The 18432-nt window shown below is 46.1% G+C and overlaps 1 protein-coding gene and 1 long non-coding RNA gene across 24 annotated transcripts in view, besides 3 other annotated features; one reads left to right on the forward strand and one right to left on the reverse strand.

Annotated features, from left to right (window-relative positions):
• The window catches only part of LOC121725015 (uncharacterized), a 93648-nt gene that overhangs the window by 69026 nt on the left and 6190 nt on the right, over window positions 1-18432 (forward strand). The window lies entirely within an intron of this gene.
• L3MBTL4 (L3MBTL histone methyl-lysine binding protein 4) overlaps window positions 1-18432 on the reverse strand; it is a 460543-nt gene that overhangs the window by 10036 nt on the left and 432075 nt on the right. For 18 of the 22 annotated variants that reach the window (NR_158610.2, NR_158609.2, NR_158611.2 and 15 more), the window contains one exon: window positions 4641-4810. The exons of the other annotated variants lie outside the window; for them this stretch is intronic. Coding sequence is in view for 15 of the 18 variants with exons in the window: in NM_001365765.2 (NP_001352694.1) it covers window positions 4641-4810 (170 nt within the window). In the remaining 3 variants the exon portion in view is untranslated. The remainder of the gene's footprint in view (window positions 1-4640; window positions 4811-18432) is intronic. 22 annotated transcript variants of the gene reach the window in all.
• Window positions 227-727: an enhancer, noted in NCBI's record as "OCT4-NANOG-H3K4me1 hESC enhancer chr18:5964978-5965478 (GRCh37/hg19 assembly coordinates)". NCBI's record gives its function as "activates a minimal SCP1, AML or CMV promoter by ChIP-STARR-seq in naive H9 embryonic stem cells {active_cell/tissue: H9 hESC(naive)}" and the evidence as "EXISTENCE:reporter gene assay evidence [ECO:0000049][PMID:30033119]".
• Window positions 15203-15372: an enhancer, noted in NCBI's record as "active region_13057". NCBI's record gives its function as "activates an Ori minimal core promoter by ATAC-STARR-seq in GM12878 lymphoblastoid cells {active_cell/tissue: GM12878}" and the evidence as "EXISTENCE:reporter gene assay evidence [ECO:0000049][PMID:35858748]".
• Window positions 15573-15662: an enhancer, noted in NCBI's record as "active region_13058". NCBI's record gives its function as "activates an Ori minimal core promoter by ATAC-STARR-seq in GM12878 lymphoblastoid cells {active_cell/tissue: GM12878}" and the evidence as "EXISTENCE:reporter gene assay evidence [ECO:0000049][PMID:35858748]".

An 18432-nucleotide genomic window follows, 5' to 3' on the forward strand; every position in this document is an offset into this window, starting at 1 on the left:
TACCTAGGGGGGTAAATGTGCACACCACATATCACGCCCTGCCTGCCCGCGTGTGCCTACACATATATACCTGGCAGAATCAGGGAACAGACTACATAAAACCCACCTGCCTATTCATTCATGAACTCATCTACTCACTCGAACATTTGTCAAACACCTCTTCTGTGCAAGATGCTTTGCAATAAGATAGCAAAAGATTCAAAGATATAAAAATATATGAAACTATATTAGTCCCTACTCATAAAAGCTTATACTCCTGTACAAGATATTTTCATGACCCAGAGTAAGACACATACTTTACACCTCCACAACTTATCACATGTGCACACCCACACACATCCCTCACCAAAGTTTAACAAAGCAACAATCCTTATAACCTATGAAGTGCTCTCATCTCGTCTGGTCTTTCATTTTATAACCACTAAGTTGACTTCAAAGCCTACCTACACTTTGAAAAACACTGCTCTAAGAGAGACAGCCATAGTAACAAAGGAGTTAAGAGGCAGCTCACAGCTCTGTGGAGTGTTACAAAGGCCCTGCGCTAGCCTCTCTTCACAGGTGGCATAAGCACAGCAGAGGTCTTCCTCCCAGGCCAGGAAGGCAGATAAAGAGGCTGTGCTTTCACTTAACCTTCTGCTGCAGACACGCTGTTTTAAGTCTTCCCGAAGGATGCCCAGTTCATTCCAACACGCCCCATCCCTGGCTGCGGAGGCTCCTCTCCGAAACACCCAGTGCTGACAAAGCGCAAAAGCACCCCTGAGCCCCCACCAGTCCAGCTCAGCCCTGAACTGCCATTCACATCATTGCTGCCCTGCTCGTCATTTTTACTGTGGCCTCTCTAAGCAGCCCCACACTCTGCTGTGGGTAGGTACTCACTGGGGTCCCCTAAGTAGCTCCCTTATTTTCAAAGATACAAACACAGCAATCACAAAGCCCCCATTTTCAACCCATCAGAGACTATTCCTGAGGACCTATGTTGGTACTGGGAAATGTGCTGTAGTGTGTGAGGACATGGAAAGAAATTCAGGATGCGGTCCTTGTCCTCAGGGCATCTAGTTGGGGAGACAGCAAGACTAAGATATGCTCAACAGTAGGGAATAATGAAAATGGTTTTCCCTGGAGTGCATCCCTGACGGAAGACAAGGTTATGGAAGCAACAGGTGCAGGAGCATTGTATGCGAGGCACTTAGACTTTCCCATGGCTCATATTTTAAATCTAGAAAAGCTCTAAGGCCTCTCCCAGCAGCAAGGGCTGAGATTCCACCTGTACCCACAACAGAGAACTAAAGACCGGGGCTCTCATCTTCCTAACAGCTTCTCTTTCTCTGGTCCTCCTTCTGAGATCTTCTCTGTCCTAATGACACTTTCACCTAGACCAGCTACTTCCCTTGAATCACCTCCCAATCCCGTGATTTTGTTTCTGTTAAGTGCCACGCTTGAAATCTGTCCAATCATAGCTCCCATTTTCTAGTCACTGCTAATGTCCCTAACAGTGGTGTCTATTCTTATTGCATAATGGCACCCCTGAGAAGTTAATAAAAGCTCTGGCCCTTATCCATTAAAAATGCATATACTGTACACAATTTTTCCAAATTCCCTGAGGCACAACTCCAGGAACCCAGCCTCAAAACCCGACCAGCTCTGACACCTGTCCTGCTGCACCGCACACTCTGGTTTCATCTTCCCCTGACACCCGGCTTCCAGGGACTCCTTGGAAGTCAGTGCCCCTTTGCGGCTCTTCTTTCCTCTTTCTAACTGGGGCCCTGCCGACCCATCCTCACCCTATCTCTGGACACTCACACCTTGGGAAATGCACCTTGGTAACCTCTGCCTGCAGCCTTTAAGGGCACCCATCTTGAGTTTATGTCCACTGGGACATCTCTATATCCACTACTGTGATTCACAGGGACTGCTAACCATGAGTCACGTGTCCAATAATGCAGTCATCACGTTATCCTCCTGGCCCCAAACTGGACTTTGCCCCAAATTTCACTTCTAATGGCACCACTCTTTCCCCATTCCTTCAGATGAACTCTTTGGGTCTTTCAGCTCTCACATATTATTACCCCAATTAAGTACTAAACTGTTTAGTGCTGAGACTGTAAATGGAATGGCATTTGGCACGTCTCACTTTTTCTTCTTCTATGTCTGATCTACCTCCCTGTGCTACTGCCTGTGCCTTTGAAATGTCTATTGAATCTGAGTTCTTTTCTTGGCAGTGCCCCACCAAGGCCCTGATGGTTCCACTTCCTGGGTGTCTCCTTCTCATCCACCTCTTCTCGTCTTATTCTCTACAGATCTGTGCAATTCTCATCTTCCTGAAACGCCATCTTCACAAAGTGACTTTCCGCATAAGAACCCAGAACGGCTCTGTCCAGCAGACTGTGGGCTGTGCACACTTTCTGCCCTGCCTCTGCGGCCTTTCAAACCAGGCCCATCTCCCGGTCCTGGGTTACTTTCCTCTGTGCCCAGGGCCACAATGAGCATGGTGGGCAGGAAGTCAGCTCATGGCCTGGTTCTGACTGTGGCCTGATGCAAGTCACTTCGTCTCTGGGTATCTCAACTTCCCCATGAGTAAAATGGGAAAGTGAGTATCCGCCTTACTGTCATTATATTCATATAGCTGGTTTATCATGATTAATGCCTGCACAGGGCGTGGTGCACGTCTGCCATCACTAAGTCTGTGAAACTCACTTCCATGCAGCCACCTCTGTTTCCCCATCAACTGAAATGGCTTCCCTTCTTTGTTTCTGATTAGATACATTCCATTTTTTTTCAAAATTCAGTTCACAATTGATTTCCTTGTCATTCAACATTCATTCAACACACATTTACCAGGTGCCTATTAAGTGCAGAGTGTAGTGAGGGGTTCTCAAGATGTCATGCCAAGTGAGTGCGAGGTCAGGCCAGAGTGCAGATGCCCTGCCAGAGGTGACCTCTGGCTCAGACCGAGGATCCGCAAGAGTTGGAAGTGAGCATGGAGCCCCAGGCTGCTGCTGGCAGTGGGCAGAGTGGGAGAAGGCGGGACTGTTTGAGTGTAAGAACAGGCCGGGGCAGCAGGACTCCCTGGGGCAGGAGGGGACGGCAAGAATGGCAGGACAAGCAAGGGTGGAAAAGGGGACTTGTGAAGGGCGCCAGGGGGAGCCAGGGATTGTTGTAAGCTGGGCAGAGACATGCCCAGAATTCTGCCTTCTCCACCACGTTCCTCACGATCTGGACTCTGTTGCTCTGCACACACAGGTGGGAATGGAACTGGGGCCATGATGCCAGGGGGCCATGAGCCCAGTGACAAAGAGGGCAGAGGAGACACACTCAGTGTCTCCAATTTCTGGGTGGGCTTTGGCCTGCCTGTTCCTTGGCCCAAGGCTGGGAAGGCGGACTTAAACCAAGATTAAGCTGACTGAAGTAAGTGCTCCAGGAACATTGTGTGACTAATTTAACTGCAGCTGTAGCTCTAATCTTGCCCTCAGAGTGACCCAGGGTTTTCCTTCACTTAAACAACAGTTTCTCTAAGGCCTGACTAGTAAAAACAGTATCTTTATCCAAAGGAATTACAGGTAAGTGGTATATTCCTTAAATAATACATTTTAAATATGAAGCATTTCTACAGCATTATTGTAAAGCAATGGGGCTTAACTGTTCCTTATTAATAACCAATATTGAAGCTAGGCAAGGTGGCTCCTGCAAGTAATCCCAGTGCTTTGGGAGGCTGAGGTGGGAGAACCGCTTGAGGCCAGGAGTTCGAGACTAGCATGGGCAACATAATGAGACCCCGTATCCACAAAACAAAAAAAATTAGCTAGGTGTGGTGGCACATGCCTATAGTCCTAGCTACTCAGGAGGTTGAAGTGGGAGGATCGCTAGAGTCCAGGAGTTCAAGGCTGCAGTGAGCTATGATCATGCCACTACCCTCTAGCCTGGGTAACAGAGCAAGACCTTGTCTCTAAATAAAATAAAATAAAATAAAATAAAATAAAATAAAATAAAATAAAATGTAAAATAACCAATATTGTAAGGCATGTTTATAATGAAATCTGATCCAACTTGCCCCCTCTGTGCAGCTTCTCATACAATGTTGTGACCAAATATACTTTATAAATGAAGCGAAGGTGGGCCTGCTCATCTTGTAGCTTTAGATGAGCAAACCTGCAGCAGGGGCCTGCTCTGCCATGAGTGTGCCTGGATCCCATAAGACCACAGGGCAACTGGCAAATGGATCCTTGAGGTGCAGGATGTCCTGGGCTGGGCACCTTTCCCAGAGCACACGTGCCTAGGATGCAAGCCTCAGATGCTTGCACATTTGTGCTTGCCCAAATTAAATCTCTGATATGGAATTGGAGGCTTAAGCCCCTCTGCTTGAATTAGCCCCAGCTGATAGCTCTGGGCCTCGGGGGGCACTGGAATAAGGCTGCGGAGGGGAGGTGCAAAACCATCTGGGCAAGTGGTGGGCTTTCCTCATCTCCTCAGAATCATATCTGGCTTCTCCCTCTAATTTAGGTTTTAAAGTTTACATGGCAGATGCGATGCCTAAGAGAAAAAGGGCGCTGTCCCAGACATCAAAGAATGGTCAGTGGGCACCTTCCGCCTATTTCTCAGCAGCAGGCACACCCCAGCCCTGGCCCCCCAGCAGCTCCACTCACCTCATCCACAGTCCAACGTGCCACTTGGCTGGCCCGGATGTCAGCCACGCCTGGAAGCAACTTGCAGTGTTGCTCCCTGCCGAGGGGAAGGTCCCGAAAAGGGTGGGCTGACACCGTGGACATGGACACTGACTGGTGAAGCACCTGCTGCGCCTGCTCCACCGAGTATTCTGTAAGAGAGGTGGGGTGGGGTGAGGCTCAGGCTCCCAGAGAGCAAGCACTGCTGTGTCAGCCCCGCAGTCCGGAGGGCCCAAGTCAGGGGACGGAAAGTGCAGACACCACCAGAACCCGCGTCTTCTGATCGTACAGCATCACCCCCAAGCATACCCTATGCCACCAGTCTGTTTTTGAGCAGTGGTCATAGACAGATGTTACCCATGCCCAGAAGACTGTGGCTGTGTGCCAGCCACATTCAAATAATCTCTATGAGATGCTGTTTGATGGCCAATGAAGGGCTCGCTTGTCACTGCCACTGGCTTCTCTCTCCTTAAATCAGGAGTCAGAGGAATCAAGGAACCGTGCAGAATTTGACTAATAAGCAGATTGGCACACCAAACCATCTGGGATGTGTATGTACACAAAGAATAATTTCTTCCTGGAAACAGCCTCATGAGTCTCTAAAGACAGAATGAGCCTCAGTCCACATCTGGCTTCATAAATCCCCTGAGTGATACTGAACATGACATGTAGCAAGGGTCCCCATGAGAAGCTGGGTGATATCAGCTGCTGCTGCTGCAGATCCCCAGCAGCGCACCATGACCTCACCTGGGGTGACATCCTGTGGCAGCCAGGGACTTTGGAAAGCAGCGGAAGCTGAGACATGACCTCCCTAACACAGGCACTCTTAGATGGGGTGCTCTTTTCTGAGCAGCTCTGAATGTACCATGGTTATAAAGTACAAAGGACAATGGCTGTTTGTTTGCACAAGATTGGCTGCTGCAACCAAGGAGTGAGACTTCAACGGGATCTCCATGCACTTCAGCCCCACACTTATCAACAGCCTTCTGTGCTGGTTTCCTGTCTTCAAAAGTGACTTTAATCTTATGTTACATCTCAACATTTAAGGAAAAGGTCTCAATTCCCTAATTATTTAGTTTAAATCTACAAATGGATAAGGAGCAAAAATATTACAGAGATTTCAGAGAAAACCAATGCCTTTATAAGGACATCTTTTAAGATACTTTCAACACACATTAGCAAAATAAAACTGCTGATATTAGAAGAGACTTTGAAAAGACCACAAAAGGAAATGTTTTAAGCCCTCCAGAAGTCTACCTTTTATAATGCAAAGAGAAGGTTAAATAAGCAGTAGGCACATAATTTAAGGTCTATTATGATGGTTTTTGTTTTACTAACAGAATCTGAAAAACCATTATGCAAATATTTCCACCTCAAATTAATTACAGCTTTTAGTAGGTGAGGCTGACCTGCATGATCACAGTCACATATACTCATTAGTAATCAGAAAGGTTCTAAACTACGAGCGAGCTTGTCCATCACTGGGCTTCTCTGTGCAACACCACTCTCGTGGATCGGAACAGACATCCTCATATTTAACAGTGCTTGCTGTCTACACAGATAAAGAGACAGCAAAATTGCCAGCTTCTCCCCAATTCTTATGCTCCAGGTGCAAGCAGCAGCAAATTCCTCTCTAACTGCTGATTGTCCAACACTGACCTTTTTAGTATGTAAATAGGTTATCTCTTCTGTGTAGTTCAGCCAACAGTATGTAAGCCTGCAGGTTCTGAAAGGAAACTTCACATCTTCCTTGAAAAGGCAGTATGTTGGCAAATGTGAATGTTTTTTAATGAAGTTGTCAGGCTGGACAAGGGGCATGTACAAAACAAGCCCTTGAAACCCGGAGTGGGAAAGTCACAGGGTCAGTCTGCAGTTGCAGTGACACAGAAATGATCAAGACCTTGCTGGGAAGCCAGGAGTTAAAGCCCTGCACTCTTAGGGATTAAGACCTGGGCCAAAACTGGGCTGTATTCTGGAAAAGAATAACCACATCACTCAATCAGTTGTTTTTGCTGAAATAGTGTGGACTTAAACTCAACATATATGTATCTCAAACTCATGCCCTGGGTAAATTAATCATGCATAGTTTCCAAAATATATAGGACTCTGAAAAGACACAGTGAAAGAATCTTATATATTGGAAGAACAAATATGTCAAGTGATGGTGATTAGATTTCTGTGATTCCCAAATGAAAGCTGAAGTCATTAAAAATGTAAAAGAAAAAAAGACACACAAAAACCGGAAAGCTGTGTGCTCCCCAGCAGGAAAATTTCCCACACCATAATTCTGGAAGCAAATTATCTGCTTTGGGTGCTGGGGCAGACTCTTGGAAAGACACCTAATGTGTGGCTGAACAGTCCAGGGGCTCCTCAGTCCACTGCTTGCCACTCTCAGGGCTGGTTCTGGGCTCTGGAAGATGACAGATGGGGAATTCAGTTAGTCCAAGTAGCAAGATGGCCTTTAGGTCACAACGAAAGAGATGGAGTTCTAGCTTTATGCTGTGCATTTGAACTCAGGTTAGCTTTATATTATCTATGGCTTTTGAATACAGTTACCTGTGTCCCTATTAAATCAAACTATTTGAAGGGAAGCCTGAATAAAACTGAATTTGGGAGTGCAGGAAAGCTGTGGGGAATAGGCTGTATATGCCAAAGGGAGTCCTGCATGGGCACTGGGGAAAGACCTACAGGCACTTGCTGAGCTGTGGATCCCCTACCTGGGGTTCAGAGTTTTCACTAGGCATAAGGGCTTGTGTCTGTTTACAGGCAACCTCAAGTTCTGGGAAATGCTTGCCAGAATCTGTTATATGTTGAACACAGATAATGTTTTACTATTATCAATTTTACCATATCAATTATACATCATGAGACAGAAAGTTTTAAAGTTGAGCTTTTGAAAACTCATAAAGACCTGAGTTGGTCTAGGAGGGAGTCCCTGGATAGGGAATCTGGAATAACCATTCTGTCATCTCGAAGACATGGGACTGGAGGTGACAGTGTCTGTCATGCAGGGCTGGTGTGAGGGAAAAGGAGAAGTTGGCAGAAGGTGCTTGGCAAGGTCCCCAGTGTGTTGTGAATACTCAGTGGCAGGTACTACTTTAACTGCGATTTGCAAACCTCTTGAGGTCAGGATTGAGAAAGGGAAGCGGCCTGATTCTAAATTAACACAACGCAAGACTAATTTGCATTTGGGGAGTGTTTCGCGGGGGCTGTTTTGCCTTCTTTGTACTCTTTAGCAGGTCTAATGTCTTCTACAGCTGATGATTTTGGGGCGGGATAGTCAGGTCTAGCTGAAAAAATGCTTGTGTGTACTTGCCTCAGGAGCTCTGTGGCCTAGTGATCTCCCTACATAATAGCTGAGTGACCTGGGATTAGGTACTTAATTTCTACATATCAAGGTTTTCTAACTCTAAAATGGGGTAATAGGAGGGAGACAAAAAATAGAATAGTATAGAATAGAATAGAATAGAATAGAACAGAAGAGAATAGAATAGAATAGAATAGAATAGAATAGAATAGAATAGAATAGAATAGAATAGAATAGAATAGAATAGAATAGAATAGAACGGAGTAAGAGCAAAACTTATACCTCATTGAGTTGTGATTTGGACAGCTCCTGGTACATAACGTGTTCAATACATGTCAGATATTATGTTACTGTTACAAGTTATAAAGGTATTTTAAGTTGTAATGATAGTGAATGTGGGGACATACACCACTTCCAAAGCCAGTGTGGCTAATGTGTCTGAAACTCACAAAATGTGAAATCCGGACTGAGATTCAGGGTCTTGAGGGCTGTGTTCAGATTTCACACCTGAGTGGTCCTGGAATGACAGTGCAGTGGCCACTGAAATCATTTGCAGAAGTCCTAGTGGAAGGAAGTGAGATCTGCCACTGCAGGGTGGACATCTGCTTCCCAGGCAGCCTGTTGCCGATGTGTGGCAACCGTGTCAGATGCTAAAATGCTCTTGGCCTGCCAGCTTAGAAATTATGTGACTGTTGACAGGCTTTTAAAAGTTAGGGTGATTTGCATTATTTTAAATTCTGTGCATAAAATTACACTTTTGAAAATATCCACTTAAAATTTGCATAAATTTTTGTAATATGCGAATATACTGATTTTAACTTTTTTTTACAAAGCCCAGCACGATTTATGTCACATCAGATACTCACTAAAAAGTTGTTAATAAATTAAAGAACATAAGCTGATGATGAAGGCATAGACCGTTTCCAGAAACCATTCTCATCAAATCAGACGGATCAGATTCTTCTATCTTGGGCATTTTGGGTAAATGGAGCCTTCCAGATTTGATAAGGATGTTTGCCACAATGACAGGGCAGAAGGGTCACTTGTGTACTTCATCCACCAGAGCTGGCATCACAGCCCTGTTTCCACCTAACACAGCTGAGGGACATGAGATGCTTCCCAGTTGCACGACCTCATTGCCGTCATGACTCCTATCCAGCTCCCCTAAAAGTCAGCCAAGGAAATTCAGCCTGCAAAAGCAGCCCTCCTACTGGAGGTTTTAACATTTTAATTAATCAAAATGTTCTCTGCACCAGAAAATGAAATGTATATGTAATACTGCCTTTGCCTCTAACACCAATGTGACAATAAATAAAGATGTCCTTACGTGTAGGATGCCTTCTCCTTCTAGAAAACAGAATACATAAAACTTGTAATGTCAGTGGTTTGTCATTGGGGGATTTGGTTGAAAGAATTGTTTTGCTACCATTTTCCTTGCTATGGGTGTTTCTTTTGGATTTTATGGCCTTTAAAAAAATATATGATGAAGAGCTTAAAGATTTCATTCAAGGTGCTTACAGATATACTGTACCCTCAAGTTTCCAAGGCCAATATGTTCAGATATGTTCAGCTCTGTGTCCAGCTGCAGGGTCTGAAGAGGCCCTGGACCACAGCACTGGAAGACTTGGCCATGGATCTTGAGTCTAGCAGCACTCAGAGAGGAGTAACCCATCTCCAAAGAAAAGTCATTGCTTGCCCTTCCTATAGAGGCAATAAACACACTGGAACCTGGTTGATTCCCTGATGAGATGCAAGTCCACTGGTAAGTCTATCTGCCTTTAAAAGTCAGAACGCCACAGCCAGGGGAAGGCCAATTTTTCCAGAGTGCCTGAGACAGCCAGACCTGCCAGTTGTGGACAGCGTGTGACCTAGGGCTGCCTTTCCAGTGAAACGACCAAACAGACTTGCGACACGAGGCAGAGCACCGTCTGCTTCCCATTCCACAGATTAAAAAGAAAAGTATTCAGCCAGGTGCAGTGGCTCACACTTGTAATTTCAGCACTTTGGGAGGCCAAGTTGGGAGGATTGCTTGAGGCCAGGAGTTCAAGACCAGACTTGACAACACGGTGAGACCCTGTCTCTACAAAAAAGAAAAAATTAGCTGGGCATGGTGACATGCACCTGTAGTCTTGGCTACTTGGGAGGCTGAGGCAGGAGGATCACTTGAGTTCAGGAGGTCAAAGCTGCAATGAGTTATGATCGCACCACTGCATCCCAGTTTGGGTGACAGAGAAACCCTGTCTCTATTGTTTTGTTTTTTTTTTTTAAAAAGAGGAAGAATATTTTTTAGAAACTAAAGGATTTAATTTTGTCTGAAAATAACATAATGGTAGGTCCCTGATTTCTTCTCTGCCCTCTCACCCATCCTTCCCACCTCTGCTCTACCCTGACAAATGAGAAGGAAAATCCTTTATGGAAATGTTCTTTAAAAATATGTCTGTTTCTTCACAAAAGCCTCACAAAACAAAACTGAAGCAAGTGAGTCATAAATGGTAAACCACAGTCTGCATGACTGGGCCTTGAGTTATTTTTAATCCCACTAAAAACGGAGACCCATTTCACAAGTAACCTTCTCTTCAATGAAAGGGGTAGCAGTTCTACTGTGTTCTCTGCTGCAAAAAGGAGGAAATAAAAAAAATGCAGTCGGTCCCCAAATCCAATTATGTGATTGCTCTCACCCACTGTGTAATCTGTGACAGTCACCGACCAAGTCCCATCAATTTATCTGGCACTGACTGAGAAGTTACTCCACCCAGGACCTGTGCTTCCATAGTGACTTCTGCTGGAGAAGCAAGGAAATGTTCAGAGATGGCTTTTCAGCTGGGAACGTTGTTTTCTTCCCACGATCACCTGTTCTCATGCCCTGCGTACTGAACGTGCTTGAAGCTATCATTTCTCAGCTGCACTTTCTTCTCTTGATTTTGATGCTTCTGAGTCTACTCATTCCCCTTCATTTCCATTTCTTTATCCACAAAACAAAAGTAAAAAGCAGAACAAGAGAGGCTTCACCATGATGTGCAGGACAACTGTCTATTTCCGTATGGGAACAGGAGCTCCTCAGGAACGCTCCTCTCTCTGACAGCAGGCACTCAGCACATGCTGTTTCTTAGATGCCAAGTCATATTGCTCCTCAGACATGGGCATGGCCTGTCTGCTGCACTGTCTTCTGTTTCTCATACCCTTATTATCCAGAATTCATAAACGAATATCTGCAGTTTTCTAATTTTAGCTATTGGTCTTCCCTCATCACAAGCAGTCTCTTAACCAATTTTATATAAATATGGGAGATGAAGCACACAAGAGTCAGAGATTGTCCACTGCTTAGTGGGCTATCGAGAGGGTTAGAAGTTGAATGAAGAGCCTTGGATGCCCCACACCTGTGTACTATCCAATAACAGTAGCCACTAGCCACACTACAGAGCACCTGAAATGTGAAGCGTGCAAACTGAGATGTGCTATAGTACCTCCTGGATTTTGATCACTTAGTAGAAAAAGCAGAATGTAAAATATCTCCTTAATAATTTTTTGAATCTTGATTTACATGTTGAAATGATGTTTTGGATCTATTGGGTGAAATAGAATATGTCGTCAAAACTAATTTTACTTGTTTCTTCTGATTACGTTAAATACGGCCAGTAGAAACTTTCAAACTCTGTAAGTAGCCAGCATTCTGCTTCTGCTGGGATGGTGTGTGTCCAGAAGAGTGCTGAGCCCATGGCCTCTCTCCAGACCCACCCTGGGTGCAGGAAGAGGCTGGGTGGCTGGATCCAATTAACATGACTCTTGTGGAGTAATGATAACAGGGCTTGAGTAGCCTGGATTACACCCTGCCCCAGAAATCCAATAACAGAAGGCGTGAAGACAGGAGGTCATGGACAGTCTAGAGGAGCGGAAGAGTCTGTCTGGGGGATGACTTGGGTGCTTGTGTTGGTTCCATGGTTCATTTGCCCTGAGACTCTGAGCCATGTGTTTGTCTGGCTTATAACTGATGCTCAACAAATACCTGTTGAGTGGATGAATGAAGGCTGAATGAACGCACGCAGGCCAGAAGGCAGGGATATTTTTCATTTACTACAAAAGCAAAGAATGACTTTCAAAACTAGGTTAGGAACTGTTCAGAGTTAGAGCCACTTTCTCTAAAAGTGTCGCTGCCCAACCCCAAATCACTCAATGCTAAAGGAGTGTGCGGCAACCCAGCTGCTGTTTCCTTACCAGGTCTTGTGTCCTGGCAGGGAGGACTGAGGGAACCGAGTTTAGGAGTCTCTGGACTCCGGAGGGCATCTTTCAGGCATTCCTCTCCAACCTCCAGGGGACAGCCAGATCCTTGGGGCTCCGGCTGTCAGGCTTTACAACAGCTCTCAATGGGTAACCTTCCCACCTCAGTCCTGCTCCCTCATCCAGGGAGAAGTGGTCCCTCTGCACTCAGGCCAGCCTCAGCCCCACTGCCTGCTCCACACAGTGGCATCTCTGAGGACTGAGAGGCCCCTCCTCCCAGGCGGGCATGTGCCCTGTGGTGCCCAGCTCCTCCCTGCAAGCTGCGGCTGTTCCTCCAGGCAGGCCTCCGTCTCCTCATGGTTTCCTCAGTGGCTACCCAAACTAGGCCCCAGAGTCTTCCACTCACCTCTGCACATCTCTGTCTCCTTCCTTGGTTCCATCCAGGAACTGAGTCAGCTCCCTCCCTCCCCAAGGGGCTGCCATGGCCTCCCCTGTCCTCTGCGCTTCTCCCACCCAGGCTGACTGGCCTGGAGCATCAGGCTCCCTGTGCCTTGCTGCCCCAATGCAGGCTCTTGCAAGGGGCTGATTGGCAAACACAGTAGCATCCTGAGGGAATAAGTCACTTAATATGCAGGGAAGTGGCAGATAAGACACGTCCTAGAGCAGGAGGCAGTCACGACTCTAGGAAGGAGCTCAGCCTCCAGCTTTCATTCCTGAGGGCAGGGTTTGAGTTCCTGCTGTTGATACTATTCCAACAAGCACTTTTTCAAGGGATCCCCAATCCCAGAAGTCTATCTTTAGGGTTCTCTAGACCCAGAGGTTTGGGGTTCCAGGTGCACAGGCCCTGTCCAGAGCACTTGGGCTGGGGCACAGACTCCTTGCCACCCTCAGGCCTCATCACCCTCTGTGGCATCCCTCAGCCCAGGAGGAGGTAAGTCCTGCCTCCCCAAGGCTGCCCCTGGGTACCCTGCCACTGGCTACCCTTTATGGAAATTGTCCATTTATTTTTTCAGCCCTCATGAACAGAGTAAGAAGTCAAGGGCAGCCATTTCCCATTCATCCCCAGAGCTGCATGGCAGAGCGTGAACCTGACACATGGTGCGGTGTAGCAGGGGTGCTTAACACATAATGGGACTGTGGCGCCTTCAGAGGAATTGTACTGCAGGGATAGATAAGGCAGTGGCAAATGCTGACTTATTCTGCACCAGTGAAAACAGTGAGTTTTTATCCTGTGGTGTCTTACTTGTCAAATATACTCATTGCTGAAAAGGCTGGGAGTTGTTTGTAACATGAAATCTCACCCACTCCTCAATTTCATACACGAGCAGCAGATAGTCCTGGGGTCATCTTCACAAAAGTGCAGGAAAATCCATAGTAACTTTTGATAGGTTAGTCATCCAATACAAGACCTCCATGCAGCTTATTTTTTGATGGCTAGAGAGCAATCTTTTAGTTTATTATCTGCTTCACACAGCTTGAGACATCATTAATTAACTTATTTTGATCGATACTACACCCCAATCACCCAGCATGTATTTTTAGACCTTTACTGGCAGAGGAGACACCATAACTGAAGGAACACCAGCATCAACCTGACCAGGAGACTGGAGTGGCTCTTATTTTGAAGTTTCTTCTTTTTAGGCATCCTCCTGCCCGGTCACTTCCTACCCTGCTCTCCACGTGCAGATACTGAGCAACAAGTCCTGCTGGGTTGGGCATGCACAAAACTGAAAGGCCCTACTCCCTTATACATCTGTGAGTAGGACACAAAATAAGCCATTACAGTGCCTGAGGACGTGGTTTAATTGTACTTTAATTCCAACAGTAGATGTAGCACTGGTTGTGAGGAGCTAATGGATGTGGAAGTTAGCCCTGGCTTCAGCTATATGGGCACCCAGGCCTACGGTGGAGGGCAGTGCAACCAGTCCAAAAGCCTGAGCAGGTCTGCGTGCTGCTCTCTCAACTCCCACAACGGGAGGGGCAGGGGAACGAATATAAGCTATCAGCCTTAAAATCTGAGCACGACCTACCTCTGGGAGGGCAGACACCATATTCTATTTGTTTTTGTAACCTCCACCCCCCGGCACAGCACCTGGTACACAGAGGTGCTCAATAGCTGTTTGCTGACAACCAACGGGGCAGGAATAACTCTTGGGAAGGGGCAAAAGAGTGGATCCTTCTTGGATGAAGGAAAGCCTGGAGCTCCCCCAACTCTGTCCATGCTATGAATGAATGCCTCATGGATTGTGCCTCCCTTTTCTCTGGGAATGTGCCCCATTCCCGACCCCTGGGCACACCATTTGAGCAGAGGGTCCACAGGGGTCAACTTGAACAGAGAGACCCCTGACTGAAAAAACTCTTGAGGTCCAGTGTGTCTCCAAGGTTCCCAGGCTCATGTGGACACACAGCCAGCCCAGGGCACAGCACCGTGCCTGTCATCCAGGAGTGTACAATCAGAATGACAAGTCTGGGATCAAATGGAATGATCCCTGCCAGAGGCCAGGGAACAAGCCTGTGCTGGGCCCCTCTTAATCATCTGCTTTATTCACTCCAAGTGACTTCATGAAGGATGGTGCTATTAGCCCTCTCTGACAGATAACACAGCAGTCTCAGAGACACAATGTAACTTGACAAAAGTGATTCAGCAGCCCAGGGTGGAGCTGGGGTGCTGATCCTAGAGCCTACCACACCAGGGGCATTTTTTTCCTCCAATCCTTCAATAGTGGGTTATTTCTCACACTGCCTGTACATTCCTGTTTAGAAGGTGACAGGCAGAAGTCACACTTTGGGGGCAGGGTGTGGCCAGATAATCCTGAAAAGAAGGGTTGTCTCTTCTTTAGCAAGGTAAGCCTCTGTGTTGCAATACTCAGCATCTGAATCTCAAGACAGGTCCCTGGAGGTATTGTCAGATTTATCTCAAAATAAACATTGCTTCCAGGGATCCTGCGTGGGACCCTTGGAGACCTAGTCAAAGGAGCACCTTAGGGTACAGGAATGACAGCCACCTGGGCTCTGCCTGGCAGGCAGTAAAGGCACACGTCGCCTCCAGGGGCCACACTCACCTCTCTGGGAAAACAGGGCTGCTGCTCACCCTGCTTGTCCCTGGCACAGAAAGCTGCCTTGTCCCTGGCACAGAGCTCAGCACAGATGCTGGCTCCTAGGCACCGCCGAGGGCTCCCCTCATGGAGTGGCTGACGTGCTGACAGACATAGAAAAGTCAGTCTGCGTTGTGGGGTGCTCTCAGGGCCAAGTGGCTTGTTCTGGGAACCACCTGTTTTCACAGGCTTATGTGCTCCCTGCACCCTGCAGACAGCTCTTCCTGCTTCTCAGCAGAAACTCTCCTAGGCCTAAGGCCACGTGTCATCCCACCCACTCTGGGAGGGTGAGAGGCCAGGATTCCCCCCAGGAAGTGAAACAAAGCATCCCCGTCTCAGGTGTACACCATATTGTATACTTTTGATTCTTTTGTTGAAAACGTATAAATAAATTAGTTTGCGCTTTTTTTTTTTTTTTTTTGAGATGGAGTTTTACTTTTGTCGCCCAGGCTGGATTGCAATGGCATGATCTCAGCTCACTGCAACCTCTGCCTCCTGGGTTCAAGCGATTCTCCTGCCTCAGCTGCCTGAGTAGCTGGGATTACAGGCTTGCACCACCACCCCTTGATAATTTTTATATTTTTAGTAGAGAAAGGATTTTGTCATGTTGGCCAGGCTGGTCTCGAACTCCTGACCTCAGGTGATCTGCCCACCTCGGCCTCCCAAAGTGCCAGGATTACAAGCATGAGCCACAGTGCCCGGCCTGTGCACTTCTTTTCACATTTCACTTTTGGGCAAACTCAATGAAGAAGTAGCTCATGGGCTATTTTCTTCTTGTAGGAGTTGTGCATATTTCCAGCATTTTCCTGGCTTTGCAGAGAAGCCAGAAGCAGCGGTGCACACAGGATGAGTTGCTCCTCAAGCCGCCCTTGCCTGGGCTGATTTGTGTTCCCTCTCGCATACACCAAGGCTAGTGAGGCGGAGGATGGCAATTGCTGGCTGTGCTGCTTGGGGAAGCATGCCCAGGTGTCTGTGCCCACACCAAATTTCCCTCTGCTTAGCTTTCTGAGGAGGCCCTCCTGCCTGTTTTTCAGGTTTCTCTCTGTTCACACAAATCAAATGTGTGTACTCAAATATGCTCTCCCACCACTGACCTCTTGGTGTTCTCTGGGCTCCTTGGCCTGGTCTCACCTTATGCTAATTACAGGCAGCAAGCACAGTGGGCTGTGATGATTAGAAAATATATGGGTCAAATAGAAAATAAAATTAAGGCTAGTCTTCTTTGTTATGCAAGTAAAAGAAGAAATGAGTATTCTTACTATTTCACAGACTTCAGTCTTTAAAAATTATTAGAACTATGAAAAGTTCTTTGTTATACAAGTAAAAGAAATGAGTATTCTTGGTATTCCATAGACTTCAGTCTTTTCTTTAAAAATTATTAGAATTATGAAAAAAGAAACAATGAATGACACTAACTTTTAAGAAGACTGAAGTGAGATCAAACATGCAAAAGGCTCTGTGCTCTTCGTTATGGGATTCAGGTCCTGTCGGAAACTAAGTTCCAAGGGCTAGGTGCAGTGGCTCATACCTGTAACCCCAGTGCTTTGGGAGGCCAAAGTAGGAGGATCCCTTGAAACCAGGAGTTTAAGACCAGCCTGGGCAACACAGCAAGACTCCTTTCTTTGAGGAAAAAAAAAAAAAGCCAGCCTTGGTGGCTCCTGCTTGTAGTCCCAGCTACTCCGAAGACACTTGAGTCCAGGAGTTTGAGGTTGCAGTGAGCTGCGATTGTGCCACTGTACTCCAGGCTGAGGGACAAAGTGACATCTCATCTCAAAAAAAAAATTTTTTTTTTAAAAATAAACTCCAGTTCCAAGTCACACAAAAGCTATTCTGTTCTGTCATCTATTATTCTCTTCTAGAATAAATATCTCCCGATGCAACATGCACAGACACTGTATCTTTTTCCTATTTATCAACAGTCAAAGGAACAAAAAGGTTTCAATATTCTGTGTGTGTGTGTGTGTGTGTGTGTGTGTGTGTGTTTTGGGAAAAAAAAGGAAGAACGAAAGCAAAACACTTGAAATGTTTAAATGGCAGGAACAAGTAACTTGCATAAGTTAAAGAACAAATTATGAAGCAAAGGGATAATGAAGGAATAGAATTAGCCCCTCTATGTTGCGTTTCAACCTCCTATTTAAAGAGAGTCCTGCTAGTGGAGCTACGAGCTCCCACCGGAGTGAGACCTGCACTCCTGCTTCCCACACAGGGTGCCCACTCCCCTGCACTTTGGCCCAGCTCCTGCCACCCCACCCTTTTCTTAAACTTGATAGACGGCCTAAACAATCTGGCCTCTTCATTGAGCTTCTGGCTTTCTTTACAGTGCAGAATAGACTTCCCAGGTCTACCCAGCTGTGGACACAGCCAGAGGTTGTTTCCTCATGACAGGTCAGCATAGGAGCCAAGAACATTCAATTAGTCTGAAGCAAGGTCTCTGTCACATGAAATTCACACCTTTCAATTAGAATTTTTTGCAGAAGCACAGAAGCAGAGAAACCACAGACAGAGCCACTCAGAAGCCTGGGTTTCATAAAGACTCCCAGAGGTCATGGAAAATGCCCCGTACAGAGTCAACGGCATAGTTTCAGAAAATACACATTGAGAAACGTGCTATAAATTAGTTCATTTCAGATGCTAATTTTATACTCATAATAGCTGGCAAAAATGACATCTATCTCATTGCTATTTTAAAAAAGTCCAGAGATTGGATCAAAGCTACTATATTCATCACACATATGCTTAAGAGGGATAAGAGATGATATGATTTACCCTGAAATTAATTAATTTACTATGTTTTCCCATTTATGTGAATAGGCCAAAAGATGCAGAATTTGAAAATGATGTTTTCTATCCATATTAGTAAATATAACTACTAAGTAATTATTTCTTAGTAACTGGTTTAAAGCTATCATATCAGAAATGCCAGTAACAACCGAGGGGCAATTGAGGAAACCGGCTGAAGGCTTCATCACCTCAGCAGAAAGATGACAATTTCCTTAAGTCTTTTACTCCTACCATGGACAGTAATATGAAAACTGATGCGATTTTGTTAAGGGAGGCTCAAGTTGCTCACGTCACGAGGAAACACAGTCTTGTAAATTAAGGCCTTCGTTTCCAGCATGAAGGAAACTCCTTACTTGTAACGATATGGTAAGCCTCT

The sequence above is a fragment of the Homo sapiens genome, chromosome 18 (genome assembly GCF_000001405.40).
Source record: "Homo sapiens chromosome 18, GRCh38.p14 Primary Assembly".
Lineage (NCBI taxonomy): Eukaryota > Metazoa > Chordata > Mammalia > Primates > Hominidae > Homo > Homo sapiens.